Consider the following 19,253-nt stretch of genomic DNA (forward strand, 5'->3'; position numbering starts at 1 on the left):
TGACTCGGGAGGGCCTCTGGTCTGCCAGGCGCATGGTTCCTGAGGGCAGGTTGGCGTCATGAGCTGGGTCAAGAGCTACAGCTGCGGGCGCTGGCCAGGGGTCTACACCCTCCTCTCTGCCTGGGTGAGCCGGCCCCACCGCCGCATCCCAGCATCGGGGGCTCAGGCGGCTCCCCAGGCCCCCTCCCGGGGGACTTCTTCCTCCTCCTCCAACTCGTCCTCCTCTTGGCTGTCTCCTGCATCTGGTGGCTAAGTGACCTCTGGGCCAGCCGCAGTGGCTCTTCCTCCCCCGACCTCTGACCCTTGGCCCCTGACCTGCATGAGCCCCTCCAGCTCCCTCCTCCCAGAGGGGTGGAGGGCGATGGCCACAGCCTAGGCCTGGAGGCAGACCCCGCTCCAGGCCTGCACAGCCCCGGCTCGCACCCCAGTGCAGCCTCTTCTCCCCGTGGGGAAACTGAGGCAGAGAGGGCGCCGTGACCTGCTACGGTCACACGCAAGGCCTATCCCAGCCCTGGAAGCTCCAGGGCTCTGAGACCCGACCCAGCGGGCAGGTGGGCTGGGCGGGGCAGCTGACTCCTCTCCGCCCCTTCCTCGCCCCTCCCCGCACCTGCCCTGCCCCCTCCCCGCCCCCGCCCCGCCCTCCCGCAAACGCCCCGCCTTCCTCCCAGCGCCTGCCTCGGCCGCGCCCGGGCTCCGCTTTGCATGGTCAGGGGCCCCCTCTGCTGGAGACGCGGGGAAGTGCAGCGCTCCGGAGGGAGAGAAAAGTCGGTGATCGCTGCGTAGAAAATCCAGGAATAATGGACCCTGGAGTAATGGACTTAGCAGGGCTGTGACATACAAAACCAATATGCAAAAGGATTACTGTGTTTCTAAACGCCAGCCATGAATATTGGACGATAAACGCGAACATCCATACCCTTTGCTACAGAATAAAAAAATCAAACACCAGGAATACATTTAAGGGAAGGCATGCAAGATCTCTACACCAAAAAGTACAAACATTGCTGGGAGGAGATTTCAAAGCCCTACGTAGGTGGAGAGACAGGAGCACGGGCCATTTTCATCACCCTAGAGGTTTCCTCACCTCTCGGTCACCTGCCTGAAGGGGCGGGGAGTAGACACCCTAGGGTGATACGTCTTGCTTTGGGCCATGGTTACACAGGTTTGGCAATCATCACAATTCATTGGACTGGACATTTCAGGTCTGTGCATTCTGTTTATTTAATTTGCTCTCAATAAAAAAATATATCTATACATTCAGTTCCCACTCGGACATACGAAGGGACTGGAAGCCAACCTCACAACCACATCGGAAACGCTGGGCCAACTGAAACGCAGCTGAACAGCCTTCTGAGAACCGAGCTCACGGGACAAAGCACTGCCCCCAAACCGGACAGACCGGTGGCTACTCGGGAGGCTGAGGTGGGAGGATCGCTTGAGCCTGGGAGGTTGAAGCTTCAGCGAGCTAGGATTGCACCCCTGCATTCCAGCCTGGGCAACAGAGCAAGACCCCATCTCAAAAAAAATTTTTTTTAAAACTCTGCTTTACAAGAGACATTGTTAAGAGAATGAAAAGACAAGCCACAGACTGGGAGAATATCTCTGCAAAACTCATATCTGATAAAGGATGATTATCCAAAATATACCAAGAACCCTTAAAGTCAACATTAAAGAGAACAAGCAACCCGGCCGGGCAGGGAGTCACACCTGTCATCCCAGCACAAGCAACCTGGCCGGGTGTGGTGGCTCACACCTGTCGTCCCAGCACTGTGGGAGGCCAGGGTGGGAGGATCACGAGGTCAGGAGATCGAGACCATCCTGGCCCACATGGTGAAACCCCGTCTCTACTAAAAATATAAAAATTAGCTGGGTGTGGTGACACACGCCTGTTATCCCAGCTACTTGGGAGGCTGAGGCAAGAGAATCACCTGAACCAGGGAGTCGGAGGTTGTGGTGAGCCAAGCTCACGCCACTGCTCTCCAGCCTGGTGACGGAGTGAGACTCCGTCTCAAAAAAAAAAAAAAAAGAAAAAGGAAAAAGAAAACAAGCAACACAATTAAAAAGTGGGCATCAGATAAATCTAACAAAGAGATTGAAAGAATTAAAAAGAAAAAAAAAGTGGGCAAAAGATCTGAACAGACACTTCACCAAAGAAGATACAGAGATGTCAAATAAGCACCTGAAAAGATGCTCAGCATCAAACGTTATTAATTAAATTAAAATAACAATGAGATACCACTACACACCCGTTAGGATGACTAAAGTCCCCAAGACAGACAATACCAAGTGCTGACAAGGAGGTGGAGCAACGGGAACTCTCATCCACTGCTGATGAGAAGGCAGAATGGCGCAGCCACTTTGGAAGACAGTTTGGCAGTTTCTTACAAAGCTAAACATACTCTTACTATATGATCTAGCAATTGTGCTTCTAGGTATTTACTTACCCAAGGAGTTGAAAACTTATGCCCACACAAAAACCTGCACATGATGTTGATAGCATCTTTACCCATAATTGCCAAAAAGTTGAAGGAACCAAAGTGTCCTTCAAAAGGCGAATGGGTAGAACAACTGTGGTACATCCAGACAATGGAATATCATTCAGAGACAAAAAGCAATGAGCTGGCCGGGTGCGGTGTCTCATGCCGGTAATCCCAGCACTTTGGGAGGCTGAGGCGGGCGGACCATGTGGTCAGGAGATTGAGACCATCCTGGCTAACACAGTGAAAACCCATCTCTAAAAAAAAAAAAAAAAAAAAACAGCTGGGCATGGTGGCAGGTGCCTGTAGTCCCAGCTACTCGGAGGCTGAGGCAGGAGAATGGCGTGAACCCGGGAGGCGCAGCTTGCAGTGAGCCGAGATCACACCACTGCACTCCAGCCTAGGAGACAGAGCGAGACTCCGTCTCAAAATAAATAAATAAATAAATAAATAAATAAATAAATAAATAAAAGCAAGGAGCTATCAAGCCTTGAAAAGACATACAGGGGCCATAACTGCCTACTACTCAGTGAAAGAAGCTAGTCGGAAAAAGTTAATAGTGTATCGTTGATAGTGGATAAGTCAAAACTTCAGAGACAATGAAAATATCCGTGGTTTCCAGGGGATGGGGAGAGGGAGAGGCAGTGGAGCACGAGATTTTGAGGGCAGGGGATGTATTCCGCATAATACGGTAATGGTGGACACATGACTTGTGCACTTGCCACGACCCACAGAATGTACAACAGACAGAGTGAACCCTCATGTAAACTGTGGGAGTTCGTTAGTAATAATGTATCAATATTGTTCATCAGCTGTAACAATGCACCCACAGTAATGCAAAATGTTCATAACAGGAAACTCTGTGTGTGGGGATGTGTGTGTGGGGGGATACGATCTGTACTATCTGCCCAGTTGTCTGTAAACTTAAAACTGCTCTAAAAAATAAAGTGCATTAATTCCAAAACACCACAACTTCACGTGCAATTTCAACTTGCAACAGCCTGCTTTTAGTCTCCCCGGATCCTTCTGTTACTGTAGCACACGCCGCACCCTTGTGTATTCCATAAACCACACGATACCTGCACTCGCTTTGCTGTTGTTGCTTCAAACTGCCAATTCTCTTTCAAATATTTTTTGAGAGAGAAAACTGTCTTACACAGTCACAGCTGTTTCCATTTCCAGAGCTTATCTTCCCTTAGTCTAGGTCTAGATGTTCATCTCTTATCATCTTCTTCCTGCAGAACTTCCTTTCACATTTCTTTTTTTTTTTTTTTTTGAGACGGAGTCTCCTTCATTGCCCAGGCTGGAGTGCAGTGGCGCCATCTCGGATCACTGCAAGCTCCGCCTCCCGGGTTCACGCCATTCTCCTGCCTCAGCCTCCCGAGTAGCTGGGACTACAGGTGCCCGCCACCACGCCCGGCTAATTTTTTGTATTTTTAGTAGAGACAGGGTTTCACTGTGTTAGCCAGGGGGGTCTCGAACTCCTGACCTCAGGTGATCCACCCGCCTTGGCCTCCCGAAGTGCTGGGATTACAGGCGTGAGCCACCGCGCCCAGCTAATTTTTGTATTTTTAGTAGAGATGGGGTTTCATCACGTTGGCCAGGCTGGTCTTGAACTCCTGACCTCAGGTGATCCAGCCGCCTCGGCCTCCCAAAGTGCTAGGATTACAGGCGTGAACCACCACGCCCGAACATGATTGATTTTTTTTATTGGGAGGTCATCCTTTTTCATGCCTGCTTTTTTTTTTTTTTTTAAGACACGGTATTGCTCTGTCACCAGACTGGAGTGCAGTGGCACGATCTCGGCTCACTGCATCCTCTGACTCCCTGGTTCAAGCGATTCTCCTGCCTCAGCCTCCCGAGTAGCTGGGATTACAGGCACGTGCCACCACGCCCGGCTAATTTTTATATTTTTAGTAGAGACGGGGTTTCACCATGTGGGCCAGGCTGGTCTCGTTCTCCTGACCTCACGATCTGCCACCTCGGCCTCCCAAAGTGCTGGGATGACAGGCGTGAGCCACCGTGCCCGGCCACCCGCTCGTTCTTGACTAGCCCCCGGATCTCGTGAGTACTCTCTGGAGTGTTTTGTTGCGTGCTGGGTTGTGTTCTATTCCTTGACATCGTTTTGAGATGTGTTCTCACAGGCAGTTAAGTCACTTGCAATCATTTGGATCCGTCTGCGCTTTGCTTTTCAGCTTTGTGAGGGTGGGTCCGGAGAAGCCTTTGGTTTCGGGATTACTTTCTCCCCTCGTACCCTTCCATACCCTTCCGAGGACTCTCCAGTGCCTGCCTCTGACAAGGTTTCTCCACTCAGCTGCTGGGAACACGCGATATCCCCAGCCCCGCGCGCACTCCCGGACTCCGCCCCTCTCATCTGGTGGTTCTCGTTTCCGACGCGGCTCCCACGTCTCTCTGCATCTCCGGCACTCGGCCGAGGACGCCGGGGGGAACCCCCTGCGGATGCCCGGAGCTCTCCGTGCAGTTCTCCGCCTCGTGAGTCATGGCTGCCGGGGCCTCTGCACGCGCCAGGTGCGTCTCCCCAGCCCAGCAAGCTCCTGGGGCTGAGTTTCCCATCGCTGCCCTGAGTCTGGGCGCGGCCACTGTCGTCTCACCCGACTCCCCACCCTTCTCTCGGGGACACTGCCCCACGTGGCCTCTTGCCCAGTGTCTGTCAATGGCCTGGGACCCCAGCCCTGCAGCAGCCCCAGGGGAGCGGCCGGGGATCGGGGCGGGGTGCCCAGGACGCGCCCTGATTGGCCCAGTGTTAGCCAATCAAGGCTCTCGCATCCCCATGGTGCTGATTGGTCCGCCTCCCAGGCCTGACCCAATCGGAGCATTCCTAGGAGGAGCGGCCCCAGAGCCCCTGACTCGGGGGTCCCAGAGCCCTCTGCACACCACAGCCCCGGTGTCCCCGTGTGTCCCTGGGTTCTCCCAGCCCTGGTGTCCCCTGAGTCTCTTCTTCACCGTCAGCCCTGGTGTCTCCCGTGTCCCTGCCACACCCTCATCCCTGGTGTCCCCCGTCACCCCATCCCCTCACCTCCTGGGCTCCTGAAGGTCCCATCTTGTGGGCCTCATTCATGGAACCAGGACGGGGCAGGTGGAGGCCTCTGGGGAGTTTGTCCAGAGAATGGAGGAGAAGCAGGGTCATGAGCAGGAGCGGTCTGGGCCACCCCTGCCTGTCCCCCGGGGGGTGCAGCCCGGAAGGAGTCCAGATGGATATGGCCCCGCAGTGCAGAGTCAGCCTCAAACCAGGCTGGTCCCAGGCAGGGTGGGGGCAGGAGGAGCCCCGGAGTGGCCCTGTGTTGGGGGTCGGGGGGCAGGCAGGGGGTCCTGGGGCTCAGAAGCAGAGGAGGTGGGCTGGAGGCCCCAGTGACCAACAGGCCCAGGTGAGTCAGGAGGTGGGGTGGACGGAGCTGCAGGGACAGTGTCAGCGCTGAATGGGATGGAGAGCACAGGGAGCTGGGGCCGGGGGTGAGACCAAGGGGAGCTGGGCTGGGGCTGGGGGTGAGTCCATGGGGAGCTGGGGCCGGGGGCTGGGACTAGTCCATGGGGAGCTGGGCTGGGGCTGGGGGTGAGACCATGGGGAGCTGGGCTGGGGCTGGGACTAGTCCATGGGGAGCTGGGCTGGGGCTGGGACTAGTTCATGGGGAGCTGGGCTGGGGCTGGGGGTGAGTCCATGGGGAGCTGGGCTGGGGCTGGGGGTGAGTCCATGGGGAGCTGGACTGGGGCTGTGGGTGAGTCCATGGGGAGCTGGGGCTGGGGCTGGGACTACTCCATGGGGAGCTGGGGCTGGGGCTGGGACTAGTCCATGGGGAGCTGGGCTGGGGCTGTGGGTGAGTCCATGGGGAGCTGGGCTGGGGCTGGGGGTGAGTCCATGGGGAGCTGGGCTGGGTCTCCTGGGGTTGCACCTGCACTCCTGTCTGCCCTTCCCTCTGCGGATGAAGCTCAGATCCCATGATAAGAAGGCACCTGCAGACCAGGGGACCTGCACGGACAGCCCCAGAGGTGGACATTGAGGAATCGTTGGAGGACTTGGGTCTCATACGGGAGGTGGGGAGCAGGGCCCCTTCCTGGCTGAGGACACTTGGTGCTGTCCCCTCTCAAGGCTGTTTCCCCATCTGACAAAGGGGTCTCATGTGAGCCCCCAACCAAGTGAGTCGAGGAGGGCTGGCCCCACCCCCGTGGATTCGGAGTCCGTAGGAGGGGTGTCACCCGTCATGTCCCCACCCCGTGGGCACCTTCCCGTCTCTTGGAGGGTGGCCCATGGACATGAGTTCCTCACCCCGTGTCCCTCTTGGGGAAACAGGTTTCAGGAGCGACGGGTCTTGTAGCCTGGGGCAGCCAGGCCACCTGGGTGCAGCTATGCCTGAAGGCCTCCTGGCACCGAGACAGGGGCAGGAGCAGATCCCACCAGCGGGAAGGTGGTGGGTTCCAGTGCTGGGATCCACCAGCTGACAGGTGGAGCTGCGAGCCTCCAGTGCTCAGCCCTCGGCGGGGCCTGCCTGGCAGCCCCACACACAGAGGGCATCGGGGTGGCGGGGGCATGTGTTACACGGGGGCCCTGGGTCTGAGTCATCCACTTCCTCCGAGTCTGGATGGGAGGACCCAGCGCCCCTCCTCCGCCCCCTCCTGATCTGGAAGCATAAATGGGGAGGGGAGAGCCCGCTGGGTAGAAGGAACAGGGAGTGGCCAGGGTAAGTCCCTACTCTCAGAGACCCTGACATCAGCGTCACCTGGAGCAGAGTGGCCCAGCCTCAGACTCAGAGCACCAAGACCCAGGCCCGCAGGCCTGGACCCACCCCGGTCCCCCCGTCCCAGCTCCATTCTTCACCCCACAATCTGTAGCCCCCAGCCCTGCCCTGTGAGGCCCGGCCAGGCCCACGATGCTCCTCCTTGCTCCCCAGATGCTGAGCCTGCTGCTGCTGGCGCTGCCCGTCCTGGCGAGCCCGGCCTACGTGGCCCCTGGTGAGTCCCAGCCGGGGTCCACCCTGCCCCTCACCACATTCCACAGATCAGGGCCTGGGTGGGTTCTGGGGAGGCCGGGCTGGCCCCCACACAGGGAAGGGCTGGTCCCAGGCGTGGGGCGGCTTCTTGGTCCTGACCTGGCACCTGCCCCAGCCCCAGGCCAGGCCCTGCAGCAAACGGGCATTGTTGGGGGGCAGGAGGCCCCCAGGAGCAAGTGGCCCTGGCAGGTGAGCCTGAGAGTCCGCGGCCCATACTGGATGCACTTCTGCGGGGGCTCCCTCATCCACCCCCAGTGGGTGCTAACCGCGGCGCACTGCGTGGAACCGTGAGTCTCCTGGGGCCTGGAGGGGTGGGCAAGGGCTGGATGTGAGCCCTGGCTCCCGGGTGCTCCTGGGGGCTGCCCAGGGCCCTGAGTGGGATCCTCCGCTGCCCAGGGACATCAAGGATCTGGCCGCCCTCAGGGTGCAACTGCGGGAGCAGCACCTCTACTACCAGGACCAGCTGCTGCCGGTCAGCAGGATCATCGTGCACCCACAGTTCTACATCATCCAGACCGGGGCGGACATCGCCCTGCTGGAGCTGGAGGAGCCCGTGAACATCTCCAGCCACATCCACACGGTCACGCTGCCCCCTGCCTCGGAGACCTTCCCCCCGGGGATGCCGTGCTGGGTCACTGGCTGGGGCGACGTGGACAATAATGGTGGGTGTTGGGGACAGCGGGAGGCCGGGCCAGGTGGGCACCAAGTCACAGCCACAGGCCAGTCCGTGGGGTGACAGGGTCCCTCAGGGCGGCTCAGGGAGGGGGACTGTGGAGGCCAGGATGGATGGAGCAGGCGGTGGCGAGAGGCAGCAGGTGCCCTGAGCAGAGACGGTGAGTCCAAAGGGCCTGGGCGTCCCCCACCCCAGGGGTTTGGAGAGTCCCTTAGCACCTCCGTGCCTCGGTTTCCCCTTGCCTGAAAGGGTGCATCAAAAGTTTGTACGTCACGGACTTGCTATGTGGAGAGAGAAATCACACGGGGGTCTTGCTGGAAGGAGAGAGACCGGTGCTGGGATGAGACCTGCCTGCCCTCCATCCCTGTGCTACAGACAAGGCAGGGGCCTGGGAATCGGGGTCGTGGCAGTGCTGTGGGGGGCTGGACGAAGCTCACTGTGGCCCTCCACGAGGCACATTTTCACTTCTAGAAGGTCTTGTCCCCATTTTATCCACAATTCAGAGCAAAGCTTTGGGGTACAGCCTGAGCGGCAACCCTGGGCTGTGACCTCTGGGTCACTCAGAAGGGGCCTGAGCCACTGTCCCGCTATTCCGCCCCACACAGCGGGGAAGCTGAGCCCAGCGCCCTGTGTTCCCCTCGGCTAGGGCCAACCGTGGACCATGGGCCTAGCCCAGACGAAAGTCAGCTGAGCCCAGGGGGAGACACGGGTCGGGCTCTGCACCCCCGTGCCATGGAGCCCAGCTTGGCAACCTCCAGGGCCCTCCCCTCCCTTCCCCAGATGGGGCTTAAATGAGGCCAGGGACCCAGGACCAGCCTCAGCGGAGGGGCCTGGACTGCATTCACCGCCCCTTCCCCGGGGCTGCAGGCACAGAACAGCACTGGGCCCATGGTGCCATCTCCCCTGCCCGTGACTCTGCCACCAAGTCCACGAAGCAGCACCCAGCCGGCCCCAGACCCGGCTCCACGCCCCCCTCCGCCCCCAGTGCACCTGCCGCCGCCATACCCGCTGAAGGAGGTGGAAGTCCCCGTAGTGGAAAACCACCTTTGCAACGCGGAATATCACACCGGCCTCCATACGGGCCACAGCTTTCAAATCGTCCGCGATGACATGCTGTGTGCGGGGAGCGAAAATCACGACTCCTGCCAGGTGGGCCCTCGCGTCCCCCACCCCAATCCCCGGAGCCTGGCCAGCGAGCGCATCCCTCATCCTGACCCCCGAAGCCTGGCCAGCGAGCACTGACCTCTGACCTTCCCAGGGTGACTCTGGAGGGCCCCTGGTCTGCAAGGTGAATGGCACCTAACTGCAGGCGGGCGTGGTCAGCTGGGAGGAGAGCTGTGCCCAGCCCAACCGGCCTGGCATCTACACCCGTGTCACCTACTACTTGGACTGGATCCACCACTATGTCCCCAAGAAGCCCTGAGCCAGGCCTGGGGTGTCCACCCGGGTCACTGGAGGGCCAGCCCCTCCTGTCCAAACCACCACTGCTTCCTACCCAGGTGGTGACTGCCCCCCACACCTTCCCCCATCCTGAGTCCCCTCTCCCATCCTGAGCCCTGTCCCCTGTCCTGAGCCCCCTCCCCTTTCTTGATCCCCTCCCCCATCCTGAGCCCCTCCCCCACCCTGAGCCCCTTCCCCTTTCTTGAGCCCCCTCCCCCACCCTGAGCCCCCTCCCCTTTCTTGAGTCCCTCCTCCATCCTGAGCCCCCTCCCCTTTCTTGAGTCCCTCCTCCATCCTGAGCCCCCTCCCCTTTCTTGAGCCCCTCCTCCATCCTGAGCCCCCTCCTCCATCCTGCCCCCTCCTCCATCCTGAGCCTCCTCCCCAACCCTGAATCCGCCCCTCCCGGCCCCTCCGGCCCTCCCCTGCCCAGGCAGCTGGTGGTGGACGCCCATCCTCTCTAGTGCTGACTCTCATTAAAGTGCATGATGGAAAGCAGGTGTGGCCGTCACTGTGTTTCTGGTCGTGGGTGTCACGGGGGAGGAAGGGTCTAGGCATGTCTCGGGGCAGCTGCAGGAGCTGCGGGGTCCTGGACCCCGAGGCACAACTAGTCACTGTGGGGTGGGGCCTCCTCAGCTGCCCTGGTCGGCGAGTGGGGGCACAGGTGGCTCCCGGTTTGGAGGAGGAGCAATTAATTTCGGTCTCCTCCCGGCAGCGGGAGGTGATTTCTCCGTCAAACACGGAAGCCTGCCGTGGCCGCACTGAGGGTGTGAGTGCTCGGCTTCCCGTCTGGGTCTTGGTGTCCTGTGAGTCGCACAGATCAGGGGCTGCAAGGGAGGGACTCTGAACGCTGCCAGGGCAGAGCAGGGTCCAGCGGGGTCCGGCTGGGCGGGGACGTGGCTCGGAGGACTTGGGAATGGCACTGATCACTGCCCGCTGCCTGTCTTAGAAAGCCCAGGGAGCCAGGGCAGTGTGGGAGACCCAGGAGCCCCCTGGGAGGTGGCGGGGTGCAGCTGGACCCTGGACCCCCGCCGAGAGCGCCCTGGGACGCGGGCTGTGGTCACGTCCCCTGAGGCCCTGGGCTGTGTCCAGCAGGTCTCACCCTGGGTTTAGAGCAGCCGGCAACCTGGCCTGGGGCTCCCCGCTTTCTCCCAGGAAGGGAAGCATGAGGAGTGTCAGAGGCAGCCAGCTCCCCGGGAAAGAAAGGGCAGTGCCCTACCCGTCCACACCCCGGGAGTCTTTCCCCCACTGCCTTGAAGTGCAGTGACTCCCCCAGCTGGGGCGCCCCAACTGCTCTGCTCTGCCCCACTCTGGAAAGACCAGGGGCGTGGGAGAAAGTATAAACCCAGATGTGGTTTCTGCGCGGAGGCTCAGAGCCTGGGTTTGCCCTGAAGCCCTTGCCCTGTGGGGATCCTCCCGACCCTCATCCCCGGGAGTGACAGGCAGGGCGGGCGAGGGCAGGTGGGAGGGTGAAGGCCAGTCCCCGAGCCGCTCACCTGCAGAAACTTCTGCGGAGGAGCCAGGAGCCTCCCCAGACCCTCCCTTTTGACCTTCCACCTCTTCTCTGCCCTGCAGAGGTCCCGAAAGCACAGGGGCAGAGGAGGAAGCCCCTGGTTTTGGGGGCCCGGGGGAGCGGACGCCAGAACCACACATTGACCTGCAGCCTGGGGTCTGGGCGCTGAGTCTGCCTGGTCCAGGTGCAGAATGAACACGGGGCGGAGGAGGGACGGGGCCGTTCTGGGCGTCGCCTGCCCCTCAGAGCACTGCTCTCCCTGCCCACACTGGCCTGGCCCTTAGAGGAAGCGCCCCAGGAAGGCACCCCATGCGGAGGCTGGGCCTCTCGCGGCCGTCCACTCCCGTCTCGCCCTGCGTGGTGGTGTCTGAGCTCTGGGACCCATGGCGTCGCCCGGTACAGGAGGGAGTCGGGGCAGGAATCTAAACCTAACCACTGCCCTGGGAGGCCAGGGCCCGGGGACGCGGAGGCCCCAGCACAGGAGCAGCGTGCAGCGTGCCGGCCTGGGTCCCCCGAGCCCCAACCCACTGCGCCTCCATCTCCGGTGACTTTCCTGCCTCGGTTTCCTCATCTGGAACCTGGCATTGAAGCAGCACCTGTGAGTGTCGCCCCCAGAGGACAGGAAACACACTTCCACACAGAGCCCGGAGACGCACGTCCACACAGAGCCCGGAGACCCACGTCCACACACAGCCCGGAGACCCACATCCACACACAGCCCGGAGACCCACGTCCACATAGAGCCCAGAGACGCACGTCCACACAGAGCCCGGAGACGCATGTCCACACAGAGCCCGGAGACCCACGTCCACACACAGCCCGGAGACGCACGTCCACACAGAGCCCGGAGACCCACGTCCACACACAGCCCGGAGACGCACGTCTACACAGAGCCCAGAGACGCACGTCCACACAGAGCCCGGAGCATGAATGTTCTCAGCATCTTTATTACCATAGCCAAAATGTGGAGGCCTCCAACAGGAGGTGGCTGAGCAAACCGCACCTGGCTGCAGCTTGGAATGCAAATCCATCCCACAGAGACGCCACACACTCTGCTCTTGCTCTTTAATCAGACAGAGACGCAGCGAGGCCCCCACCCTCCCTTCCCCGGCCCCTTCCCCACCCCGGCATCAGGGAGGTCCTGGGCGCTGAGGAGCCAGAGAAGCCGGGCTCAAGACGGTGGCCTGCAGCGGAGGCCGAAGCGGAGATCGCTGGGAGGAGGAAGGTCCTGGTCCCTCCTCAGCCGACCCAGGTGGGAGCCCAGCCCAGCCTGCTCAGGGCAACTCCCCGACTTGCTGCAGGATCCAGAGCACGTAGATCTGGACGTGGGTGTAGACGCCGGGAAAGTCCCGCAGGGTACAGCCGTAGCCCCAGCTGACCACCCCCACCAGGCGCCAGGACCCCCGCAGCCTGCAGACCAGAGGGCCGCCGGAGTCACCCTGAGGAAGGGAAGGAAAGGGGTCACCGCTGAGCTCTGCGGTGGGAGCAGGGCAGGCAGGCAGGGCGGGCCGGGGGCACTCACGTAGCAGGAGTCTCGGCCCTCGCTGCCGGCACACAGCATGTCATCCAGGATGAGCTGCCGGTCGCCAGTGTGCCCTGAGGCGTTGCGGTAGGGCTGCTCACAGACGGCGTTCTCCAGCACCTGCACACTCGCCTGCTGCAGGCGGTAGGGCGGCGGCAGCGACTCTGGGGAGAGAGGTGACCCCGGCTGGCACAGCGGAGACGCCCCTGCCGTCAACCCAGCAGCCCCAGCACCTCCCCAGGTTGGGAAGGAAGGTGGCTCCCTTGTGGCCAAGGGCCCCTAGTCCCGGCCTGAACCTCCCAGCCTGAGCACGGTGTGTGGGACCCCAGGAGGTGGGAGGGCTCGTGTCTCCCTCTAAACTCCCAGGGCTCGCAGTCGGACGGACCAGAGAAAAGTGGAGGGATGAGTTTTTCTGTTTTTTTTCCTCCAAAAAATGCCTTTTGGTTTTGAGGTGTTTTCGTTTGCGGTGTTTTTTCTTTTCTTTTCTTTTTTAGAGATGGGGTCTTGCTATGTTGCCCAGGCTGGCCTCAAACTCCCCGGCTCAAGCCATTCTCCTGCCTCTGCCTCCCAAAGTGCTGGGATCACAGGTGTGAGCCACCGCACCCAGCAAAAAAATTTAAAAACCTTTCCTAAGTAGAAAAAAATGAGAAGTATTTTCCCCTCTGAATAATGAGTCTGGAGCTTGGTGTGGCCATTGGCACTCGCAGGACCCCCGAGTCTCTGGGCCCGGGCAGCACAGAGCTGTGGGGAAAAGCAGCCGGAGGTGCTGCATGGCGGTGAGCAGCTCCGTCTCTTCCCTTTCTGGAACTCACCCACCCCACCACCACCCCCGGAGCCCTGGAATGAGGCGTTTTGGGCCCACAGCCCGAGTCCTTCCCCAGCCTCCACCCAACACGCCCCGAACATCCTGATCGCTCCCCAGCCAGTCACCCAGCACTGGTCCTTCGGGGTGAGCTCCAGCGAGACCGGGGAGAGCTTGACCGTCCTGACATTAGCGGCTCAGATCATGGGGCTCACCAGCTGGAGCAGGGCCACATCCGCACCCAGCCCCGCAGTGACATAGTTGGGGTGGACGATGATCCGGCTGACGTTCAGCAGCCCCCGGCCCCCGTAGAGATACACGTCCCCAGCGTGGATCCGGTAGATGGACGGGTCGGTGTCCTTCCTGGGGGAGGACGGATCCAGGCTGCTCAGGGGTCCTGGTCTGGGGCGGCCCCACTCCCACCTCCCCTCATTGGGGTCCCAGGCCCGGGACTCACCAGAAAATGCAGTGGGCAGCAGTCAGCACCCACTGGGGGTGGATGAGGGAGCCCCCACAGATGTGCGCCCAGGAGGCCCAGTGGTAGCTGTAGACCCTCAGGCTGACCTGCCACGGCCACTTCCCCGGGGGGGCATTGTGGCCCCCCACAATGCCCACCAGGTCATTCTCTGGGACGGGCACTGGGAACAACCAAAGGAGGTCAGGGAGCCGGGCCCCACCCTCCTGCAATGCCAGGAGCTTCCAGGCCCTGCTCGACGAGGGGGTCAGCTCTCCGTCCTAGCCCAGTCCCTGAGGGTCCAGTGTGGGATTGGGCCAGGAGTCACCTGGGGTCTTGGACATGGAGCCCCCCCAGGCAGGGGAGGGTCAGGAATAGCAGCCACAGCATCTGCGCAGGGAGGAGAGGGCTGGCTGGAAAGAGCCAGGAGGGACCTGGGTCTGGAGGCCACAGGTGGCTGCCGGTGGTCAGTGTCCTCACCGTGGTCTGTGGCCACAGCTGCCCTCCCGGACCCTCCCGGAGCTGCTTTCTCTTCCTTGCAAAGGAAGTGGGTGGGGCTCAGTCAGACATTCTTTTCCCAGGGTGGGGGCAATAGCTCCTAGCCCAGGCTGTAAACAGGGTGACCATGAGGATAGGGGCCACCCCCAGCCCCTCGCATCCCCTCTGCTGGGCCAACAGAGGTCCTGTACCCGGGTTCCCTGTCTACACCAGTGGCTCCCACGGGTGACTATGTCCCCCAGGGGACATTTATGCTTGTCAGGGATATAGGGACACCACCCACATCTAGTGGGAAGAGGCCGGGGTTGGGGGGCTAAATGTCTACGGTGCACAGGATGGCCCCACTGCAGAGGGCCCCTGGCCCCAAATGCCCACAGTGCTCAGGTTGTCGCCATGCTACCCATTCTCATGGCCAGTGCCACAGAGGCCAAGGAAGCACCTAGTAACCAGCTCTCCCGCAGCCTCTCCTGCCACCCGGGACGGGACGGGCACTTGTACACACCTCCACGGGTGCAAAAGTATCAGCCAGAGGGCCTGCCAGAGGCACTTGGAGCCTGGGCCAGGGGACCCGCCTGCTCCATGGTGGCCGCCCCAGGCCCAGGCTCCAGTCCTTGGAGGGAGTTTGTGGAGCCCACACAGGGAGATCTTCTGGATGGGCTCCAGGAACCTGTTTTAATCAGTACAAACCTCAGGTTGCAGGAGGGGCACACTCTGCTCTGGGAGAGGGGCCGTCACCTGCTGGGAGTCTCAGAGGGTGGGGAGCTGCATTCTCAGGCCAGGGCCCAGCCCCCTGGGCCCCAGCTGCCCACTGCTGTGCCTTGGGGCTCCGGCAGCAAATGCCTGTTTCAGCCCAGGTGGCAGACACGTTCTGGGGCTGACAGGGGCAGCAGAGGCCGAGGCCCAACCCTACAGCCTCTCCTCCAGAAGTCTTGCTTTGCCATGAGATTGTAACCAGGGTGATTGTGGTGGTGTGGGAACACAAGGGAGCACTGTGAATGGGTGGGGGTGTGGGGGGTGCCTGTGTGTGTGTGCATACGTGTGTGGGCATGGGGTGTGCACATGCCTCTGTGTGCATGTATGTGTGTGCATGTGTGAGTATAAGTGTGTGCATGTGTGTAAGCATGTGAGTGTGCATGTGTGTGTGTGAGCATGTGTGTGCATGCATGTGTGCATGTATGTGTGGATGTGTGTGTGCCTGCATGTATGAGTGTGTGCATGTGTGTACGAGTGTGTGTGTATGAGTGTGTATATGGGTGTGTGCGTGTGTATATGTGTGTGTGCATGTGTGTATGAGTGTGTGCATGCTGCTGTTTGTGTTTGCGTGTGTGTGCGTGTGTTTGCATGTGTGTGAGTATAAGTGTAAGCATGTGTGTAAGTGTGGGTGTGTGCATGCGTGTATGAGTGTGTGTGTGCGTGTATGAGTGTGTGCATGTGTGTATGCGTGTGCATATGTAAGGATGTGTGCGTGTGTGCGCGTCAGTTTGCATGTGTTTGTGTGCCTGTGTGTGCGTATGAGTGTGCATGTGTGCATGTAAGCATGTGTGTGCATGCATGTATGTGTGTGCATGTGTATGAGTGTGCGCATGTGCGTGTGTGTGCATGTGAGTATGAAAGTGCGTGCATGTTTGAAAGCATGTGTGTGCGTGCATGTGAATGTGTGTGTGCATGTGTGTATGAATGTGTGCATGTAAGCATGTGCATACGTGATGTGTGCATGTGTGTGCATGTATGAGTGTGTGCATATGTGTGCATATGCATGTGTGTATGAGTGTGTGTCTGCATGCATGTGTGTGCATGCTTGTGAGTATGAGTGCATGTGTGCGTGTGTGCATGTATGTGTGTGCACGCATGTGTGTGCATGTGTGCATGCATCAGTGTGTGCATGCGTGTATGTGTGTGCATGCATGTATGAGTGAGTGTGCATTGAGTTTGTACATTGTGCGTGTGCATGTGTGTGTGCATGCGTGTATGAGTGTGTGTGTGTGCCCGCATGTCCTCCAGCTGGAGCAAATCCAGCCTTCTCCATGCTACCAGCAGCTTCCTGGTGATGCCTCAGGATTCCCCGGAGGCTGAGGGAGTGGGTCCCCGAGGCTGGGCCTGCAGCTGTGAAATCCTCTGCAGCCAGACTTCCACCTGCATGCCCAGCCCTGCACCTCCCTGCATGGGGAGGAGAGAAGCCCCAGGCTGCCCGAGATGGACTCCCAGCTGCCCCGTCCCTCCCTCCTGGCCGCATTCACCCATCATGGGCCAGGACCTCTGGCTCTGTGCCTTGGGAGCCGCTGCACCCCTCACTCCCAGAGGGCTTGGCCCACGCCCACTTCAAGCTGCTGCCCAGGCCCATGGAGTGGGCAGCTCCATCTGAAGATGCAAGAAGGAGACAGGAGAGCAGCTGGAGGATGGGAGGGCTGGGAGGCCAGCCAGGTGAGGCCAGGAGAGGCTGATGGGAGGGAAGCTCGGGTCTGGATCACCTGGGTTCCTTGTTTAGAGCCAGAGGGCCGAGGAGAAGAGAGGACAGCTGCTTAGCCTGGGGGCTTTCTTGGTGATTCCTCTCCCTCCCGGGACACGAGGATAATGTGGCAGCTGCGTCACGGGTGCAGGACTCTCCTGGTCCCCCACCCAGCTGCCGGGAGGCAGGGTCCAGGAGGCCCAGGTAAGGCGGGGACGGCACCAGCCTCGAACCAGCCAAGATCCGCGAAGCACAGCCAGTCTGAGGGCTGCGGGGCGAGCGTGGCCAGGGCTTCCAGGGAGGCCTGGAGCCTACAGTCAGGGGTCCTGGGCTGCGGGGGGCTGGGGGAGAGGCCGAGGACCCCTCGAGCCCCAGCTGAGTCCAGGTTGGGTGAACCAAGCTTGCCCGGGAGAGGCCAAGGAGCCCTTGGGCCCCAGCCGAGTCCAGGTTGGGTGAGCCAAGCTCGCCCTGTGCAGAGACAGGAACGTCGGATTCTCACGTGGAGGATGCAGGTGACACTTTCCTTTTATCTTTTATTCGGTGCTTTATACTTGGAATCAGATGTGAGGTCGGCCAAAATTGGGCATTGTTGTGTGGAGAAGGTTCTACAAGTTGCCCAGTGCTGTGTCTGCACAGGGAGGCTCCTACAGGACGTGCAGGTGAAGGAGGAAAATACCTCCGGGGTCAGGAGCCGGGTGCAGTGGTGAGTTGAACTGCATTTGCCGAAAAGATACGTTCAAGCCTGAGCCCCAGGAACTGTGAACGTCACTTGATTCCGAAATGAGGCTTTTGCAGACGTAATTGAGGATGTCAAGATGAGATCATTCTGGAATTAGAGTGGGCCCTAAATCCAATGACAGGCATCCTTATAAGAGAAAGGAGAGGGGGCCTGAGACCTAGAGCGGTGGAGGAAGGCCGGGGAAGGCAGGCAGGGATGGGAGTGATGTGGCTGCAAGCCAAGGACAGCCAGCAGCGCCGGACACGAGGAGACAGGCATGGAGCGGCCCCTCCCTCCAAGCCTCTGGAGCAAGCGGCCCTGCTGACACTCCAGGATTGAGAGAGAATAAAATTCTGCCCCTCAGTTTGCAGCACTTTGTGCAGCAGCCTCAGGACACTGATACGGGTGACAAGAGATGGGGCGCAGGCTGGGCACCGTGGCTCACGCCTGTCATCTCAACGCTTTGGGAGGCTGAGGCAGGCAGATAACTTGAGGTCAGGAGTTCGAGACCAGCCTGGCTAACATGGTGAAACCCCGTCTCTACTAAAAATACAAAAATTACCTGAGCATGGTGGCGCGTGCCTGTAGTCCCAGTTACTTGGGAGGCTGAGGCAGGAGAATCGCTTGAACGTGGGAGGTGGAGGTTGCAGTGAGCTGAAATGGTCCATTGCACTCCAGCCTGGGCAATGGAGCAAGACTCCATCTCAAAAAAAAAAAAAAAAGGAAAAAAAAATGAGGCAGAGTGGAAAAACGTCAGTAACACTTACTGTTGGGAGCCGGGAGCAGTGGCTCACGCCTGTAATCCCAGCACTTTGGGAGGCTGAGGCAGGAGGACCGCCTGAGGCCAGGAGTTCAAGACCAGCCTGGGCAACAAAGTGAGACTCCATCCCTACAAAAAATCAACAAAATTGGCCAGGTGTGGTGGCACACGCCTGTAGTCCCAGCTACTGGGGAGGCTGCCTCAGGAAGACCACTTGACCCCAGGAGGTTGAGCAGGGAGCTATGATCACACCACTGCACTCCAGCCTGAGTGACAGAGCAAGACCCTGTCTCAAAAAAAAAAAGTTAGGGGACCTGAATAAGGAACGAGATTCCAGTTGCATCTCTCAGGCCACTCATGGGCTCAGGCATCCTCTGTTCCCTCTGGGAGCTGCCTATGCTGCAGCTGTATGGAGACAGGCTCTATAACAGGAAGCAGGAACCAGACTCACTGTTTAAGCAGAAGAGAATTTAAGAGAAGGAATTTGATTTTTTTTTCTTTTTTTTTCTTTTTTGTTTTTTTGAAACGGAGTCTCACTCTGTCGCCCAGGCTGGAGTGCAATGGCGTGATCTCGGCTCACTGCAACCTCCGCCTCCCGGGTTCAAGTGATTCTGCTGCCTCAGCCTCCCAAGTAGCTAAGATTACAGGCATGCACCACCACGCCCGGCTAATTTTTTGTATCTTTAGTAGAGACAGGGTTTCACCGTGTTGGCCAGGCTGGTCTCAAATTCCTGACCTCAGGTGATCTGCCTGCCTTGGCCTCCCAAAGTGCTGGGATTATAGGCATGAGCCACCGTGCCCGGCGTTGTTGTTTTTTGTTTGTTTTGGGTTTTTTTTGTATTTTCAGTAGAGACAGGATTTCACCATGTTAGCCAGGATGGTGTCGATCTCCTGACCTCGTGATCCACCCACCTCGGCCTCCCAAAGTGCTGGGATTACAGGCATGAGCC

The 19,253-nt window shown here is 59.6% G+C and overlaps 1 protein-coding gene and 1 pseudogene across 1 annotated transcript, besides 1 other annotated feature; one reads left to right on the forward strand and one right to left on the reverse strand.

Annotated features, from left to right (window-relative positions):
* Window positions 240-771: an enhancer, noted in NCBI's record as "H3K27ac-H3K4me1 hESC enhancer chr16:1299161-1299692 (GRCh37/hg19 assembly coordinates)". NCBI's record gives its function as "activates a minimal SCP1, AML or CMV promoter by ChIP-STARR-seq in naive H9 embryonic stem cells {active_cell/tissue: H9 hESC(naive)}" and the evidence as "EXISTENCE:reporter gene assay evidence [ECO:0000049][PMID:30033119]".
* TPSD1 (tryptase delta 1) lies at window positions 7,149-10,088 on the forward strand. Its single transcript, NM_012217.3, has 5 exons — window positions 7,149-7,442; window positions 7,596-7,767; window positions 7,877-8,142; window positions 9,139-9,302; window positions 9,412-10,088. The coding sequence occupies exons 1-5, from the start codon at window positions 7,361-7,363 to the stop codon at window positions 9,454-9,456; spliced, it is 729 nt and encodes a 242-aa protein (NP_036349.1). The 5' UTR covers window positions 7,149-7,360; the 3' UTR covers window positions 9,457-10,088.
* On the reverse strand, window positions 12,083-15,084 carry PRSS29P (serine protease 29, pseudogene; annotated as a pseudogene).

This window comes from Homo sapiens, chromosome 16 (genome assembly GCF_000001405.40).
Source record: "Homo sapiens chromosome 16, GRCh38.p14 Primary Assembly".
Taxonomy (NCBI): domain Eukaryota; kingdom Metazoa; phylum Chordata; class Mammalia; order Primates; family Hominidae; genus Homo; species Homo sapiens.